Source organism: Homo sapiens, chromosome 5, assembly GCF_000001405.40.
Source record: "Homo sapiens chromosome 5, GRCh38.p14 Primary Assembly".
Classification (NCBI taxonomy): Eukaryota; Metazoa; Chordata; class Mammalia; order Primates; family Hominidae; genus Homo; species Homo sapiens.
Window position 1 is genome coordinate 17868580 of NC_000005.10, and position 17940 is coordinate 17886519.

At 37.1% G+C, this 17940-nt stretch overlaps 1 long non-coding RNA gene across 1 annotated transcript in view, besides 2 other annotated features; it reads left to right on the forward strand.

Annotated features, from left to right (window-relative positions):
* LINC02223 (long intergenic non-protein coding RNA 2223) overlaps window positions 1-17940 on the forward strand; it is a 123216-nt gene that overhangs the window by 61306 nt on the left and 43970 nt on the right. The window contains exon 5 of the long non-coding RNA NR_134286.1: window positions 4441-4507. This is a non-coding gene — a long non-coding RNA (long intergenic non-protein coding RNA 2223). The remainder of the gene's footprint in view (window positions 1-4440; window positions 4508-17940) is intronic.
* Window positions 13749-14608: an enhancer, noted in NCBI's record as "H3K27ac hESC enhancer chr5:17882437-17883296 (GRCh37/hg19 assembly coordinates)". NCBI's record gives its function as "activates a minimal SCP1, AML or CMV promoter by ChIP-STARR-seq in primed H9 embryonic stem cells {active_cell/tissue: H9 hESC(primed)}" and the evidence as "EXISTENCE:reporter gene assay evidence [ECO:0000049][PMID:30033119]".
* Window positions 14609-15467: an enhancer, noted in NCBI's record as "H3K27ac hESC enhancer chr5:17883297-17884155 (GRCh37/hg19 assembly coordinates)". NCBI's record gives its function as "activates a minimal SCP1, AML or CMV promoter by ChIP-STARR-seq in primed H9 embryonic stem cells {active_cell/tissue: H9 hESC(primed)}" and the evidence as "EXISTENCE:reporter gene assay evidence [ECO:0000049][PMID:30033119]".

Sequence of the window (17940 nt, forward strand, 5' to 3'; positions counted from 1 at the left end):
CATCCTTCTACTCTATATCCATGGGTTCAATTGCTTTTATTTTTGGATCTCACAAGTAGGTGAGAACATGCAGTGTTTATCTTTCTGTGCCCAGCTTATTTCACGTAACATAATGACCTCTGGTTCCATCCATGTTGTTGAAATGACTGAATCTCATTCTTTTTTTTATGGTACTCCATTGTGTATATGCGTGACATTCTCTTTATCCATTCATCTGTTGATGAACACTTAGTTTGCATTCAAATCTTGGCTATTGTGAACATAACTGCAACAAACATGGGGTGCAGCTATTTCCTTCATATATTTATTCCCTAGGTTTTGGGTATAAACCCAGTAGTGGGATTGATGGATCATATGGTAGTTCTATTTTCAATTTTTTGAAGAACATGCAAGCTGTTCTCCACAGTGGTTGTAATAATTTACATTCCCACCAACAGTGTATGAGGTTTCCCTTTTCTCCATATTCTTGCCAGCACTTGTTATTGCCTGTCTTTTGGATATAAGCCCTTTTAATTGGGGGTGAGATAATATCTCATTGAAGTTTTGATTTGTATTTCTCTAATGATTAATGATGTTAATCACCTTTATCTATGTCTCTTTGCCATTTATATGTCTTCTGCTGAGAAATGTCTACTCAAATCTTGCCGATTTTTAAAACAGTTTATTAATTTTTTTTCCTATAGAGTTGTTTGAGATTCTTACATATTCTTGTTATTATACCATTGTTAAATGAGTAGTTTGCAAATATATATTCTCTCATTCTGTGGGTTGTCTCTTTACTTTGCTGTTTTTTTTAATTATTATTTTTTCTGCGCAGAAGCTTTTTAACTTGATGTGATACCATTTGTTTATTTTTGCTTTGGTTGCCTGTGCTTGTGGGGTATTGCTCAAGAAATTTTTGCCCACTCCAATGTTCTAGAGAGTGTCTCCAATGTTTTCTTGAGTAGTTTTATAGTTTGACGTCTTAGATTTAAGTATTTAATAGATTTTGATTTAATTTTTGTATGTAGTGAGATATAGGGGTCTAGTTTCATTCTTCTGCAAATGGATATTCAGTTTTCCCAGCACCATTTATTGAAGAGACTGTCTTTTCCCTAGTGTATATTCTTGGTAACTCGGTTGAAAATTATTTCACTGTAGGTGTTTGGATTTGCTTTTGTGTTCCCTATCCTGTTCCATTGGTCCATATGTCTGTGTTTATGCCATTACCATGCTGTTTTGGTTACTGTAGCTCTGTAGTATAATTTGAAATCAGGTAATGGGATTGCTCCAGTTTTGTTCCTCTTGCTTAGGATAGCTTTGGCTATTCTGGGCCTTTTGTGGTTCTATATAAAATTTAGGATTGTTTTTTCTATTTCTGTGAAGAATGCCATTGGAATTTTGATAGAGATTGCATTGAACCCTTAGACAATATTGATTCTTCCAATCCATGAACATGAATATCTGTTCATTTTTTGGTGTCCTCTTCAATTTCTTTCATCAGTGTTTTATAGTTTTTATGATAGAGATCTTTTAATTCTTTGGCTAAGTCGATTCTCAGGTATGAAATTTTATTTGTGACTATTGTAAATGGGACTACATTTTAAATTTCTTTTTCAGTTTGGTCACTGTTGGTATACAGAAATGGTACTGATTTTATCATGTTGATTTGGTATCCTGCAACTTTACTTAATTTGTGTATTAGCTTTAATAATTTTTTGTGTAGTCTTTAGGTTTTTCCAAATATGAGATCATATCACCTGCAAATGAGAAAAATTTGACTTTCTTTACAATCTGAATGTGAGCTATATCTTTCTTTTGTCTGATTGCTCTAGTTAGGACTTCCAGTACTATGCTGAATAACAGTGGTGACAGTGGACGTCCTTGTCAAGTTTCAGATCTTAGAGGAAAGGCTTTCAGTTTTTCTCCATTCAGCATGAAACTAGCTGTGGGTCTGCCATATATGGCTTTTATTATGTTGAGTATGTTCTATCTATACGCAGTTTTTTTAGAGTTTTTATCATGAAATAATGTTAAATTTTAGCAAATAGTTTTTCAGCTTCAATTAAAATAATCATACGGTCTTTGTTCCTCAGTCTGTTGATATGACGTATCACATTGATTGATTTGCATTTGTTGAACCATCCTTGTATTCCAAGAATAAATCCCACTTTGTCATGATGAATGATCTTTTTAATGTGTTGGCGAATTCACTTTGCTGATATTTTGTTGAAAATTTTTTAAGCAGTTGTTTTTTAGAAAAGAAAAAACAATTGAAAAACCTTTAGCTAGACCACCTAAAATAGGAGAGAATGGACTCAAATAATAGAATCAAAAATGAAAGAGGAAACATTACAATACGTGCCTCATAATTAAAATGGGTCTTAAGGGACTACTATGAGCAATTATATGCCAACCAACTGGATAACCAAGAAGTCATAGATAAACTCCTGGAAACACACAACCTGCCACAACTGAATCAATAAGAAACAGCCCTAACAGACTGATAACAAATAAAGAGATTTAATCGGCAATAGGAAAATCCCCCAAAAAAGAAACACCTGGGACCAGATGGCTTCACAGATTGACTCTACCAAATATTCAAAGAAGCATTCATATAAATCCTCTTTAAACTACTCCATTAATTTAAAAAGGGAACACTTTAAAACTCATTCTATAAGGCCAATGTCATAATGTGTTAGGTTGGTGTAAAAGTAATTGTGGTTTTTGCCATTAATTTTAAACCAACCTAATATAAAAACCAGACAAAGACACTATAAGGAAAAAAACCCTACAGGTCAACATCCGTGATAAACATAGATGCAAACATTCTTAATAAAATACTAGCAAACTAAATTCAGTAGTACATTAAAATAATCTCACAGCATGGCCAAGCATAATTTATCCATGGGATGCAAGAATGGTCAGCATATGCAAATCAATGGAAGTGCTATTCCACATTAACAAAATGAAAAAAAAAAGTCATCTCAATAGATACAGAGAGGGCATTTGACAAAACTCAACATCTATTCATGATTAAAACTCTTAGCAAAATAGGTATAGAAGAAGCTTACCTCAACACAATAAAGGCCATATACTCTAAGCCCACAGTTAACATCATACTCAATAGGGAAAAGTAGAAAACTTTTCTCCTAAGATCAAGAACAAGATAAGGAGGCCCACTCTAATCACTTTTATTCTACATATTTCTGGATGTCTTAGCCAGAACAAGTAGAAAAGAAAAAAAAAGGTATTCCAATAAAAAAGGAAGAAGTAAAGTTATATCCATTTGCAGACAACATGACCACAGAAAACCCTGAAGAGTAGATTTCAATTGCTCTTAAAAAAATACAAAAAAGTATCTTTGTGAGGTAAAAAAGAAGAGAAAGCCCTACAACACAACAAAAAACCCTGTAATAACAAACAAGTTCACTAAAGTTGCAGGATACAAAATGAACATATAAAAATTGTGTTTCTATACAAAAATAATACACTATCCAAAAGGAAATTTAGAAAGCAATCTCATAATCACAAAAAGAATAAAACACTTGGAAATGAACTTAACTAAAGAGGTAAAAAGTTTGTATACTAAAAATTATAAATAATTGATAAAGGAAATTGAAGAAGATACAGAGAAATGGAAAAATTATTCCCTGTTCAGGGATTGGAAGTCTTAATATTGTTAAAATGTCTATTCATACTACCCAAGATGATGTATAAATTCAACACAATTCCTACCAAAATCCCAATTATGTTTTTACAGAAAGACAAAACCAATGCCAACATTCATGTGGAACCACAAAAGACCCCAAATAGCCAAAACAATCTTGAGCAAGAACAAAGCAAGAGACGTCATGCTTCCTGATTTCAAAATGTATTACGAAATTATCAAAACAATATGGTACTGGCAGGAAAGAACAGATATATAGAGCAATGAAACAGAACCTAGAGATAAAAGATAAATCTATCAATCTATGATTCTTTGATCTTTGTTTGCTCAAGGGTGCCAAGAATGGCTACAGGCGCCCACCACCACGCCAGGCTAATTTTTTGTATATTTAGTAGAGACGGGGTTTCACCATGTTAGCCAGGATGACCTGGTCTCGATCTCCTGACCTCATGATCCGTCCGCCTTGGCCTTCCAAAGTGCTGGGATTACAGGTGTGAGCCACCACGCCCTGCCAGTACATTTTAAATACATACAATTTTTAATTGTAAATGACACCTCACCAAGTTGGGGGGCTGAGGGAGTGGAGAAACGTTATGACCAGAGTTTTTCTCATTTAAAAATTGCATCGTTAGAACAGTAGTGGAAGTTTATCTATTCAAAGAAAGAAACAGAATAAAAAAAAAAAAAAATGTTACTGGCCTTGGCCCTCCTGAACTTCAGCTGAAAACTTTTTTCCAAACTGTAAACTAGGGAAATTGTACAGCTCATTTTCTTTATTTCTTGTCTTTCAGGGAGCACTGTCTTTCATTGTCTGATGTTTATTGCAAACCTGTTCTTTTCAGCTTTTTGTTGTTTCAGGTAAGTGTGTAAATCCAGTCACTGTTCCTTCAGCTGGGTTGGAAGTGGAAGTCTTCTTCTTAAGAGTACTGTGATGTTCTGTCCCATATTTGCCTTTCGCTCTGAGCAGAGCCTGAGTCAAGACTTAGGTGCAAGCAGTGTATTTGGAAGATGATTCCAGGAGGCAGGTGAAAGAGAGATAGTTGAAGGGAATGCCAATAAAAATGTTTTGTCGAGCTATGAGCTATTCCTCTTACTGACTATTCGAAATTACCATGTCTCCAACAACTTTTTAACTCATTTATGTCAATGTGAACTTTTAAAAAAAATAAATTAGATGTCCTTGTGGGTATTACTGTGCACAAAAATTAGCTTAGAGCTGCTTTATTTTTTATATTAATATTCCATTTACTAAAATTTAAATGTAAAACTCTTAAAACTCTGATTTATCATTTAGCTTTTAACTACATATCTGATTATTTCCTTGGTAAAGCTAATACATTTTAATGATTATATTAAAGGCAGTTTTACAAAAGGATTCAAATATATAACATATTTTACTATTTTTAAAATCTTTTATAATTTTAGTACATTTGATTCTTATTTTAATGGGTATCATTTTCCTCATCCAAAATTAAAACAAAATTCCCACACTTAAAAATAATTATTGGAAATCTAGAAAATTAAACTTATGCCTTGGCTGACTCCAATTATTTTAAAGGTCTAATTGTTTTGTAAGCCTAGTGGAATTTCAAGTTAAAAATTGTGAGTATAAAACAATTACTTATATATTCATATTAAGTTTAAATTATAAACTAATCTGCTACCACAATAAGAAAAAGTGTCTTAAAAGCTACATAAACTAAAAACATAAAATATGAGAATTTTTCTTTAATACAGAATTATCACTATTAAAGATTTAATTACTTTTGTCATTAATATTTAATTTTAAAACTTTAACAGTAAAATATGCTTAACCAGTAGGGAATCAATAATACCATTTTAAGAGGATTTTAGAATCTGTTTTCAGGCTTAGTTGTTTTTGGCTTAAATGCTCAGTTCACCTGGGAAATAGACTGCAATAACACATATCAAGCTGTTTGACAGTAATTTTATCTTCAAAGGCAGTAGTACTGAGAGAGGAGAAATGAAAGGGGGATTTTTCACTGTTTACTCCATTTACTTGTAGGTTGTTTGATTTTTTTAAAATAAGCATGTTTTTATGTATGACAAGTAATTTCCTAAATTCCTCTTCACCATAGAAAACTTGGAACATGTACAATATGTTATCCCTTTAAAAAACGCTCAGTTGGCTTAGGTTGCGTGGCAACCAAATATTAGGACAAGATAGGAAATCTTGGAGTAGCAGATTTTATCCATGATTCTACCTGCCAGGTGAGCCCATTTTTAAAAATAGTTGGTCCATAAATGAGGAGCTCTCTTATCCCATCTCTCCCTTATTAAACTGAAACATTCCTAAACTTCTGATTTACTGGAATCCCCAGGTCGGTTTTTACAATCACCACATGAGTTTTACATATTGTATTCTATTAGCTTATACTATTGTAACACTAATTCATCCTTTTAGAAATTACTTTTTGAGTGTTTACTATGTGCCCAGCATTGCTCTAGGTAATTGAGAATATTGTTGAGCAAGACAAAAATTCCTGCCTTGTAGAGCTTACACACTAACAGAAGGAAAGAAACACTGAATGACAAGGATGCCAAGTAAATAAAAGGTTTAGTAGGCACACATAAGTAAATTATTTGGTATGGTAGAAGGGGATAAGTGTTAAAAAAATAAAGAAAAAAATTGAACAGAATATGGGATTGTGAGTGCTGTGGAGAATGTGTTGTCAGGATGCAAAAATTGTATAAGATGGTCAGGAAGGATCTCCTTAGTAGTTGTTATTTGAGAAAGAGTTTGAAGTAATTAAAGAAGCTAGTCAAGTGGTTATTAGGGGAAGAGTGGTCCAGGCAATGGGTACAGATAGAGCTAATGAGCTAGGGCTAAAGCATGCTTATTGCCTTTGATGAAAACAATGATTGGTGGGGCCAGAAAGCTGTCAGGGGAAAGATGAATACAGAGGGCATTGTAGATGATTGTCAGGGCTATGATATTATGATTCAGGATATGGAGAACCATGGCTGGGTTGAAGAATGACACAATCTGGCTTACGAATCCTTGTAGCTGCTGTATTGGGAATAGAATGTGGAATGGTTGGCAAGGAAAAATTAGAAAGACTTATTAGAAATCCATGGCAGTAATCCAAGAAAGAAAGAGTGGTTGCAAAGTCCAGATTGAAAGCATGTGGTGAGGATTATGGACATGATTTTAAGATTAACCTACCAAATCTCCTGGCAGATTGAATGTGGGATGTGAGAGAAAGGAGAGTGTCAATATGGCACCAAGTGAAATATGAGAAAATGGAAAGATGGGATTGTTATCAAGTAGGTTGGTGAGCATCTAGAGTACAATCTAGTACATGTTGAGAATGAGCTTCATACAGGACATCAAAAGAATGATTCAAATCAATAGCTGTAGTGATGTTCAGAGCCCAATATGAAAACTTAGAATGTAGAAGAACAAAAATGATGGGAGGGTTAGGGATCTTGGAGCAACTAACACAGAGAGAAATTGTGTCCGGTTATTGAGATGACTTCAGGTGACTCAGAGTAGTTAATAGTGATGAGGCTAACATAGGTAGAGATGAGGCAGGCTGGAGTCTTGGGGCCCCTCTTGATTTGTGATGACAACAGTTGAAGGCTATACACTCAGTATTACTCTTCACCAGGTTTGGGGAGACCCAGTCTAACTTGAGTGTGAACTTTGTCTCTTGAGTGACCTGAACACTTCCATGGAAGCTGCAGCTACCCCAGCTGTGACTCCTGTCACTCCTGATGAGAGTGACCTGAGGCCTAGTGCAGTGGCAATTTAATGCCTATTCTTGACCCTAAATGATGGTCTTACTGCTGGGACTTTTACCTTTAATTCACTTCCTCCAGTCCATTTTCTATACCAGTGGTCTTCAAATTAGGGAGGGTAATGTCTAATTATTAAAATATATTAACTCTTCTATTTGCATTAGTTTTATACAAAGCATTTTGTAGATTCAGGAGGTTCACAAAGATCATTAACATTTTTTTTTCCTCCTCTGATGCAACTACTTCTACCTTTTTTAGTTTACCATCTTACTATTTGCCAATCTTTTTAGAGACAGAGTCTCGTTCTGTCACCCAGGCTAGAATACAGCAGCACAATCAAAGCTCACTTCAGCCTCAAACTCCTGGGCTTAAGCTGTTATCCTGCCTCAGCCTGTCGAGTAGCTAGAACTACAAATGCACACCACTACACTTGGCTATTTTTTTTTTTTTTTTGTTAAGAGATTGGGTCTCGCTGTGTTGCCTAGGTGGGCTGGCCTTATACTCTTGGCCTCAAAGGATCCTCCCACTTTGGCCTCCCAAAGTGCTGGGATTACTGGCATGAGCCATTACACTCGGCTCCTATTTATCAATCTTTTGTCATAACAGAGAAAGGAGCTCTTGAATAGCTTCCATACTAATTTTTTAAAGCTTCTAGTTTTAGTTTTGTGTTTTTTCCTCACTTCTGTGAATTCCTAGTGCCTCAAATTTCTTAGTCTTTTGGAACTTTGCAGCATAAGTTAGGATGTTATAAAATGACTTTTCACACTTAGCTTTAGCTTAGCTTTAATTTCTCTTCCTAAGTCATTTATCCCTAGTCCTTGTACTTTTCAGCTTCCAACATTCTATTGCTGTGGTCTCCTCTCTATTTTTCTTTGTGGTTTAATGATATTCACGTTACATTTTTACTGTTATTTATTGGGGTTTGGGGAGACAGCCAAAGTAGATGTGTATGTTAAATATGATAACTTTACCTGGAAGTATTTTATGTGTATTAAAGTTATTAATATTCATGGCATATAATGATATAACTTATACTTGAAAACACATATATTTTACTGATAGGTTGCACAAGACAAATATTGGAGATCAGTATTCACATTGGCCAGAGTGTTCCTTCTAATTTAATATATTATATTGATTGTAAATTGTGCCAGAGATTCTGCAGAGCTTGTAGATTTCCTACCAAACAAAACGTGTTCATGTGGAACATTAATTCCTCTATATTTGAGAGCAGACACAAATCTTTTTAAATAAAGAAGCTATTTAAATCCGGTGGGTGAGTATCAAGAACAGTGGGACATCTGTCCATTTAAATTATTGGAAAATTGAGCAATTCAAGACATCAAACACTCAGATGCTCTTATGCAGTAAAATATGTACAATCTAATGATGCGGCTTTAGTGATGAGAAAGGGTCAGGTGAAGTACTGATCCTGTATTGATTCCCAGTTGTAGAAATCTTGTAATACCCTAATTTCACAGATCTGCAATCTAGCTTCAGCATAATAATGTCTGTGACAATAGGGTGCCACTGGTACAGTGTCATAGAAACTGCTCACCTGGAAAGAATTCACAAAAACATTTAGGTATACATATATAGGAATCAGATCAATTTCTATTTTTGAGAGCTCCTTGGTTAAACTTAAATCAGGTAGTTGAGACCACTATTTGCTTCAACTTTACATATGGCTTTAAAGTGTGTTTTTTTTTTCTACATATTATTGGATAACAGACTTTAGCTTTGACTATTGAGAAAGTTGGACTTTTTTTCTCCCTTTCAGGAACCAGATGGTGTATATTATTTGGGGCTAAATTGTTATGCCATGACAAAATGATTTTTTCTTTTTAAAATATTTATTTAAATTTTGTAATAAAAAGAGAAATCAAATAAATCTTGATCTTGGTCATTTCCTGTGGTCCTTCATCCTGTATTACATTAAGATGTAATGATACCTGAAGCATCCTCTTTCTGAAACCACCATTCATTATGTAATTACAGGTCTGCAAGGTACCAGCCTTAAGCCAGCATAAGGCGTAAAATGAGTGAGCCTAGACTCTGCCTGCAACATGTTACTGTACACCTCATGAAGAACCCTGGAAGTATGTTTAGAAGTAAAATATTTTAATGCAATTTAGTTTAGACTATATTTCTTTCATTCTGCCTTCCTATCACACGTCCCTTCATGTAGGGTGGATCAGGTCCATTTGGGATTCAGCTAAGGGGAGGTAGAGACGGCAATACCATTGGTTTGTGTTCAGGGGGATATAATTGGGTGTGTCACAGTCATGTTCATGTATAGCTCAGTTGTTGTCATCTATTTCAGCATATCATTTCCTTTAGCACACAGCACTGGATATATATGAGTTGTAAAGAAACGCATTTTGAAATGTACAAAGCAGAAGCACGTCATTGGAAAATGTGTCTCATCATTGGATGTGTAAAACTTAAGTGCAAGATTTAGCTCTCACTGAGCTTGTTGAAACAGAGAACCTTTCCTTTAAAACCAGACTAAACAAAGCAGTAAATAAAATTATAAGCACACCACATTTTACTTTGGATGGAAATCATGTAAAACACATTTTATTGGAGTTCTCAGGTTTTTAGGACACAAATGTGTGGCAGCTCTACAAATAGCAAGACTGTCTTTATATGGAGTCATAAGCTTTATGTATCTCAACATATCAGATCCTAGCGGATCTGACGCAATTTGGTCTGCTGAATTCTAATAGTTCAATATGAAACTGCAGGAAAAAATTGCCCCCAACATAGCAAAATGGCCTAGCAGTCTTACATATTTCATCATTAAGTCAATATATGCTGTCTAAGAATGACTTTATTATACAAATATGTAGCTTAACCTCAAATAGTGACAATTTGAGAGCACTGTTAAAAATAATTTTCAAAAGAAATTTAAAATCATGACTTCATGCAGATGGAAGAATGAATCTGTGTTAAGGATTTTATTTAACTCATTAATTAGGAAACTGGGAAGATGTTTAACTAGCTCAAAGGGAAATCCAGAAAACATATTTAAAGATCAGGAATTTGGAAATGAATGTGCAAATGGAAATAAAACTCTCTTCAGTCACAATGGGGGATAGAGGCTTTCCATGTCTACAGACAAGAATTTGAGTATTGCTATCAAATTCTTGTCTGTAGTATTGTAGGTTATAAATAACCTACAGAGCTATAAAATATCAGAATCAGAATAAGGTAACTCAGAAGGTGTGCTCTAGATAGGGGTGGGCAAACCTTTTCTGTAAAAAGCTACATAGTAAATATTTCAGACCTTGTGGGCCATATTGTCTTTGCCGTAACTACTCAACTCAGCCACTGTGGAGCTGAAGTAACCATAAATAATATGGAAATATATTGTTGCAACTATGTTCAAATACCATTTTATTTACAGAAAGAGATGATGGGCTGGATGTGGCCAGAGGCTGTGGTTTGCCAACTTCTGCTCTAGACAATGCACAATTGTTCACTGAAGCACCTCCTTCCTCTTATACTCTAAGTTCTAGGCTGAAGAATTCCTGATCATCGCTCAGATGTTCAAAGCTAGACTGCAACTTTGGGAGAGGACTAGTTTAATTGTGATTCATACTTACTCTGAAATCTATTTCTTTAAATTTGTGCATAAAGAAAAGGAATAAATTAGGATTCCTGCTTGAACATTTCAAATCTCAGGGGGACCATGGACTTTATGTTTTTCCTTTGGTCCTGCATCGTCACCAAAATTCAATTATATCTCAGGATTTTTCTCCCATAATTAAATATATATACATATTCTCAGAGGCAAAAAATGTGCTGACATTTTTTTGAGTGCTGACCTTGTCTGGCTTCATTCATTTCTTCTTCTAGGTTTTGGTGTAGTAAATAATTACGTGATGGTTGTTACTTTTAGGAAGATTTTTTAAAAAGATAATTAACCCTTATATTTTAGTGTCTTTGTTTGGAGGGTTGGTCTGAATTTTTCAGTTAGCATTATTGTGCACAGAAGTCTCATTCTGTTGATTCTTTAAATACTTTAAATGTCCACTTAGTATCACATGAAATAATAAAATGATCTTCACTGAATGTTTTTCTGACTTTATATAAGTCTCACTAACAATAATAAGACATATTATTTTGCTCATTCTTTTCTGAACCACTTCTTTTGGCTCTAGAAAACCTGGAATTAATATGCTTTGAAAAAAACATTAAAGATGATACTACACTATTTGGAATATCTTAACACTGATTTCATAAATGATGGAGAGTGTTAGATATTTAAAATACATTTTTATTTATTAATGTTAATGTTGAGTAACTTCTAAAAAATGAATCTACTATATAAGAAATTTTATACATGTGTCTGACTACAGGTCTAACCTTTAGGGATAAGAATAGTGTTCTATATCCCAAATTATAATTTTTACTTCTACCAAACCACTCAAACTAAGAAAAAAGGCAAAATTATGAGACCACATTTATGAGAGCGGTAAGGAAATCTATTTTAAATAAGCAAAAATTATAAATTATAAGTAAATTTAAACCTTTAAATATTTAAAATTAAAAACATAGTCTCTAAGACAAAATGTATGTTACACAAAATAAAAAGATGAAACACAAACTAGGAGATGACATTGATAATTTATAGATACAAATTGTTAATTGATATGTATCCAGAATCTAGAATGAATGGCAATTAAGAAAATGTAGCCAATGCAATAGAAAAATTGGCAATAATATGAATTCCTCAATGCTGAAATTCTCATGGCTAATAAACCCGAACGGCCAATAAACAGATGATGAAGTTCCCAACCTTCTTATATGCTATCAAGGGAATTAAAATAAAAACCAAAAAACTAAAATTAAAATTAAAAATGAGAAATAACTTTGTACTCTTAAAAGTGGTAAATATCACAAAACCCGTCTGTTTGTTAATTGTTGTCCAATCATATGGTACCCCCTAAACCTATGTAGGGCAGAAATGCCTGGAAGGCAGAGAGGCCAGTGCATTTGTTGAATGGCACAAATGCTCTCAACACCACACGTAACCATTTGGCAATGTCTGTTGAAGTTGAAGCTGTGCATAAATGATGACTTGGCATTTCAACTTCTAGGAATCAGTTGAAGATACTTTTGCACATGCATAAAAGGAGGCACAGAAAGAAAAGTTTTATGTTTTGTTTTATTTTTTATTATTTCGGCGGTTTTGGGTAATAGGTGGTGGTTGGTTACATGCATAAGTTCTTTAGTGGTGATTTCTGAGATTGTGATGCAACCATCACCCAGCCAGTGTACACTGTACCCCATGTGGAGTCTTTTATCCATCCTCTCTGTCCCACCTTTCCCCCAGTATCCCCAGAGTCTATTATCTCATTCTTATGCATTTGTGTCCTCATAGCATAGCTCCCACTTATAAGTGAGAACATACCATGTTTGGTTTTCCATTCTTGAGTTACTTCATTTACTTCATTTAGATTAATGGTTTTCAATGCCATCCAGATTGGTGTGTTTGTAATTATTTTATTCCTTTTTATGGCTGAGTAGTATTCTGTTTTATATATATGCATACACCATTTCTGTGAGAGAGATATATATATATATATATATATATACACACACACCATTTCTGTAATTATATATATATCTATATTTATATATCTATATATCTATCTATCTCACAGTTTCTTTATGCACTCATTAATTGATGGGTATTTAGGCTGGTTCCATGTTTCTGAAATTGCAAATTGTGCTGCTATAAACATGTCTGTGCAAGTGTCTTTTTCATATAATGACTTCTTTTCCTCTGGGTAGATACCCAGTAGTGGGATTGCTGGATCAAATGGTAGTTCTTTTTTTACTTCTTTAAGGAGTCTTCATACTGTTTTCCATAGTAGTTGTACTAGTTTACATTCCCACCAGCAGTGTAAAAGTGTTCCATTTTCACCATACCCACACCAACATCTATTATTTTTTGATTTTTTAATTATGACTATTCTCATAGTAGTGGTATTGCATTGTGGTTTTGATTTCCCTGATCATTAGTGATGTTGAGCATTTTTTTCACATTTGTTGGCCATTTGTATATATTCTTTTGAGAATTGTCTATTTATGTTCTTAGCCCACCTTTTGATGGAATTGTTTTTTTCTTGCTGATTTGTTTGAGTTCCTTGTAGATTCTGGATACTAGTCCTTTGTCGGATGCACAGATTGTGAAGATTTTCTCCCACTCTGTGGGTTGTCTGTTTACTCTGCTGATTATTTCTTTTGCTGTGCAGATGCTTTTTAGTTTAATTAAGTCCCATCTATTTGTCTTTATTTTTCTTGCATTTGCTTTTGATTTATTCGTCATGAACTCTTTACCTAAGCCAATGTCTAGAAGAGTTTTTCTGATGTTATCTTCTAGAATTTTTATGGATTAAAGTCTTAGATTTAATTCTTTGATATGTCTTGAGTTGATTTTTGTATAGGGTGAAAGATGAGGATCCAATTTCATTCTTCTATATGTGGCTTGCCAATTATCCCACCACCATTTGTTGAATAAGATGTCCTTTTCCCACTTTGTGTTTTTGTTTGCTTTGTTGAAGATCAGTTAGCTGTAAGTATTTGACTTTATTTCTGGGTTCTCTCCTCTTTACCCTAGGGATGGGGCTTCCTGAGAGCTGACTGCAGTGATTGTTATTGCTTTTCCGGGTCTAGCCACCCATCGGGGCTACCAGGCTCTGGGTTGGTGCTGGGAAATGTCTGCAAAGAGTCCTGCGATGCGATTCATCTTCAGGTCTCCCAGCCATGGATACCGGCGCCTACTCTGTTGGAGGTGGCAGGGGAGTGAGGTAGACTCTGTGAAAGTCCTTGGTTGTAATTTTTTTTAGTGTGCTGGTTTTATTGAATGCTGGTGATGCTAGCAGTGAAGTTGTCACATGGACAGACTCAGGACCTCTGGTTAGCCAGGATGTTGCAGGTGTTGTTTTCTCCTTCTGTGGAGCAGGATTGTTTTGTTGTGAGTTGTTGGCTTGAGTTTGTTGGCCTACAGCCAGGAGGTGGCACTTTCAAGAGAGCACCAGCTGTGGTAGCAGAAGAGGGATATAAGCTTGCCCTAAGTTGGCTAGGGTAAGTATTCACATTTCTCAGGAAATGGGTGGGGCCGTAGAGCTCCAAGGAATTTATGTCTTTTGTCTTTGGCTACCAGTGCAGGTAGAGAAAGACCAGCAGGTGGAGACAGGATGAGGCGTGTCTGAGCTATGACTCTCTTTGGCTGGGGCCTGCTGTGGTCACTGTTGGGGGTAGGGGGTGGTTCTCAGGCAATGGAGTTATGTTCCAAAGGGGATTATGGCTGTCTCTGTTGTCTCATACAGGTTGCCAGGGAAGCCAGAAGTGATAAGCTTCACCCAGCTCCTACGCAGCCAGCAAGGGCAGTCTCACTCCCGCTGTGCCCCACCAACAGTGCTGAGTTTATATCCAGCCAGCTGGTGCATAGTGCTGAGATCTTTTCCCAGGCAACAGGCCTCCCTGCTGAGAAAGCAAGCAGGGTTTTCAGGCCTTGTCCCTCTCCACCTACCTACAGCATCAGCTGTGGCTCCTGTGCTTGCATCCGCACTTCCTGTTCACCCCTAGATTCTACGCAGGAAAAATTATGCTCAGTCAGAGTTATTACAAAGTTCAGCTAGAAGCTTCTTTCACCCTGTAGCCCCTCTCTAATTCTGTGGGCTGCCTTCACCAAGGACCCCTGTGAGATAAACTCAGGGATGGCTTCCCTGGATTTGAGCTGGGGACAAGGAATGCCTACAGGGCTCTTCTCTCTTTCTCTCTCTCTTCCTCCCTCCCTCCCTTCCTCCCTTCCTTCTTTCCTTCCTTCCTTCCTTTTCTTTCTCTCTTTCTCTCTCTCTCTTTCTTTCTTTCTTTCTTTCTTTCTTTCTTTCTTTCTTTCTTTCTTTCTTTCTCTCTCTCTCTCTCCCTCTCTCCCCCTTTCTTTCTTTCCTTCTTTCTTTTTTTTTTTTTAATTTTTTATTTTATTTTTTTCAGAATCTTGCTCTGTCACCCAGGCTGGAGTGCAGTGGCATGATCTCAGCTCACTGCAACCTCTGCCTCCTGGGTTCAAGTGATTCTCGTGCCTCAGCCTCCTGAGTAGTTGAGGTTACAGGCACCCACCACCATGCCCGGCTAATTTTGTACTTTTAGTAGATACTGGGTTTTGCCATGTTGGCCAGGCTGGTTTCAAACTCCTGACCTCAGGTGATTGACCCACCTCAGCCTCCCAAAATGCTGGGATTACAGGTGTGAGCCACCATGCCTGGCCCACACTGTTTCTTCTACTTTTGTATTTCTCTTAGCTCCCTAAATCCATTTCAACTCTAGGTAAGGCTAAATCTTTCTCCCACTATCTGGATTTTTCAGAATACTCAGCAGGGATGTATGTTCAGAGGCAGACGTTCCCTCCTCTCACACTTTGGGAACTCACAGTTTTTTGGCTCTTCATGGAGTTTGCAGCGACACACCATTTCTTTCAAAGCCTCTGAACTCTTTCTGTTTCCCTGGTATGTTCCTGAAGTGGTTCTTTGATATGGTTTGGCTGTGTCCCCAACCAAATCTCATCTTGAATTTCCATGTGTTGTGGGAGGGACCCGGTGGGAGGTAATTGGATCATGGGGGCAGCTCTTTCCCGTGCTGTTCTCGTGAGAGTGAATAAGTCTCACAAGATCTGATGGTTTTAAAAAGAGGTGTTCCCCTGCACAAGCTCTCTTATTTTTGGTCTGTCACCATCCACATAAGATGTGACTTGCTTCTCCTTGCCTTCTGCCATGATTGTGAGGCCTTCTCAGCCATGTGAAACTGTAAGTCCAATTAAACTTCTTTCCTTTGTAAATTGCTCAGTCTTGGGTATATCTTTATCAGCACCATGAAAACAAACTAATACAGTAAATTGGAACAAGTAGAATGTGGTGCTGCTAAAAGATACCTGAAAATGTGGAAGCGACTTTGGAACTGGGTAACAGGCAGAGGATGAAACAGTTTGGAGGGCTCAGAAGACAGGAAAATGTGGGAAAGTTTGGAACATCTTAGAGATTTGTTGAATCACTTTGAGCAAAATGCTGATAATGATATGAACAATGAAATCCAGGGAGAGGTTGTCTCTGATGGAGATGAGGAACTTGTCGGGAGCTAGAGCAAAGATGACTCTTGTTATGTTTTAGCAAAGAGACTGGTGGCATTTTGCCCCTGCCCTAGAGGTTTGCGGAACTTTGAACTTGAGAGAGATGATTTTGGGTATCTGGCAGAAGAAATTTCTAAGTAGCAAAGCATTCAAGAGGTGACTTGGGTGCCGTTAAAGGCATTCAGTTTTATAAGGGAAGCAGAGCATAAAAGTTCAAAAAACTTGCAGCCTGACAATGTGATAGAAAAGAGAATCCCATTTTCTGAGGAGAAATTCAAGCTAGCTACAGAAACCTGCATAAGTAATGAGGAGCCAAATGTTAACCCCCAAGACAGTGAGGAAAATGTCTCCAGGGCATGTCAGAGGTCTTCATGGCAGCCCCTCCCATGAGAGGCCTGGAGACCTAGGAGGAAAAAATAGTTTTGTGGGCCAGGCCCAGGGTCCTCATGGTGTGTACAGTCTAGGGACTTGGTACCCTGTATCCCAGCCACTCCACCTGTGCCTAAAAGGGGCCAAGGTACAGCTTGGGCTGTGGCTTCAGAGGGTGCAAGCCTCAAGCCTTGGCAGCTTCCACATGGTGTTGAGCGTGCAGGTGCACAGAAGTCAAGAATTGAGGTTTGGGAACCACCACCTAGATTTCAGAAGATGTATGGAAAAGCCTGGATGCCCAGGCAGAAGTTTGCTGTAGGGGCAGGGTCCTCATGGAGAACCTCTGCCAGGGCAGTGCAGAAGGGAAATGTGAGGTGGGAACCCCCACACAGAGTCCCTATTGGGGCACTGCCTAGTGGAGCTGTGAGGAAGAGGACCACCATCCTCCAGACCTCAGAGTGGTAGATCCACTGACAGCTTGCATCATGTGCCTGGAAAAGCAAAAGACACTCAATGCCAGCCTGTGAAGGCAGCCAGGAGGGAGTCTTTACCCTGCAAAGCCACAGGGGTGGAGCATCCCAAGACTATGGGAATCTACCTGTTGCATCAGCGTGACCTGAATGTGAGACATGGAGTCAAAGGAGATCATTTTGGAGCTTTAAGATTTGACTCCCCGCCAGGTGCAGTGGCTCACACCTGTAATCCCAGCACTTTGGGAGGCTGAGGTGGGTGGATCATGAGGTCAGGAGATCGAGACCATCCTGGATAACATGGTGAAACCCTGTCTCTACTAAATATACAAAAAAAAAAAAAAATTAGCCGGGTGTAGTGGTGGGCGCCTGTAGTCCCAGCTACTCAGGAGGCTGAGGCAGGAGAATGGCATGAACCCAGGGGGCAGAGCTTGCAATGAGCAGAGATCATGCCACTGCACTCCAGCCTGGGAGACAGAGTGAGACTCTGTCTTAAAAAAAAAAAAAAAAAAAGAAAAGAAAGAAAGATTTGACTGCCCCACTGGATTTCA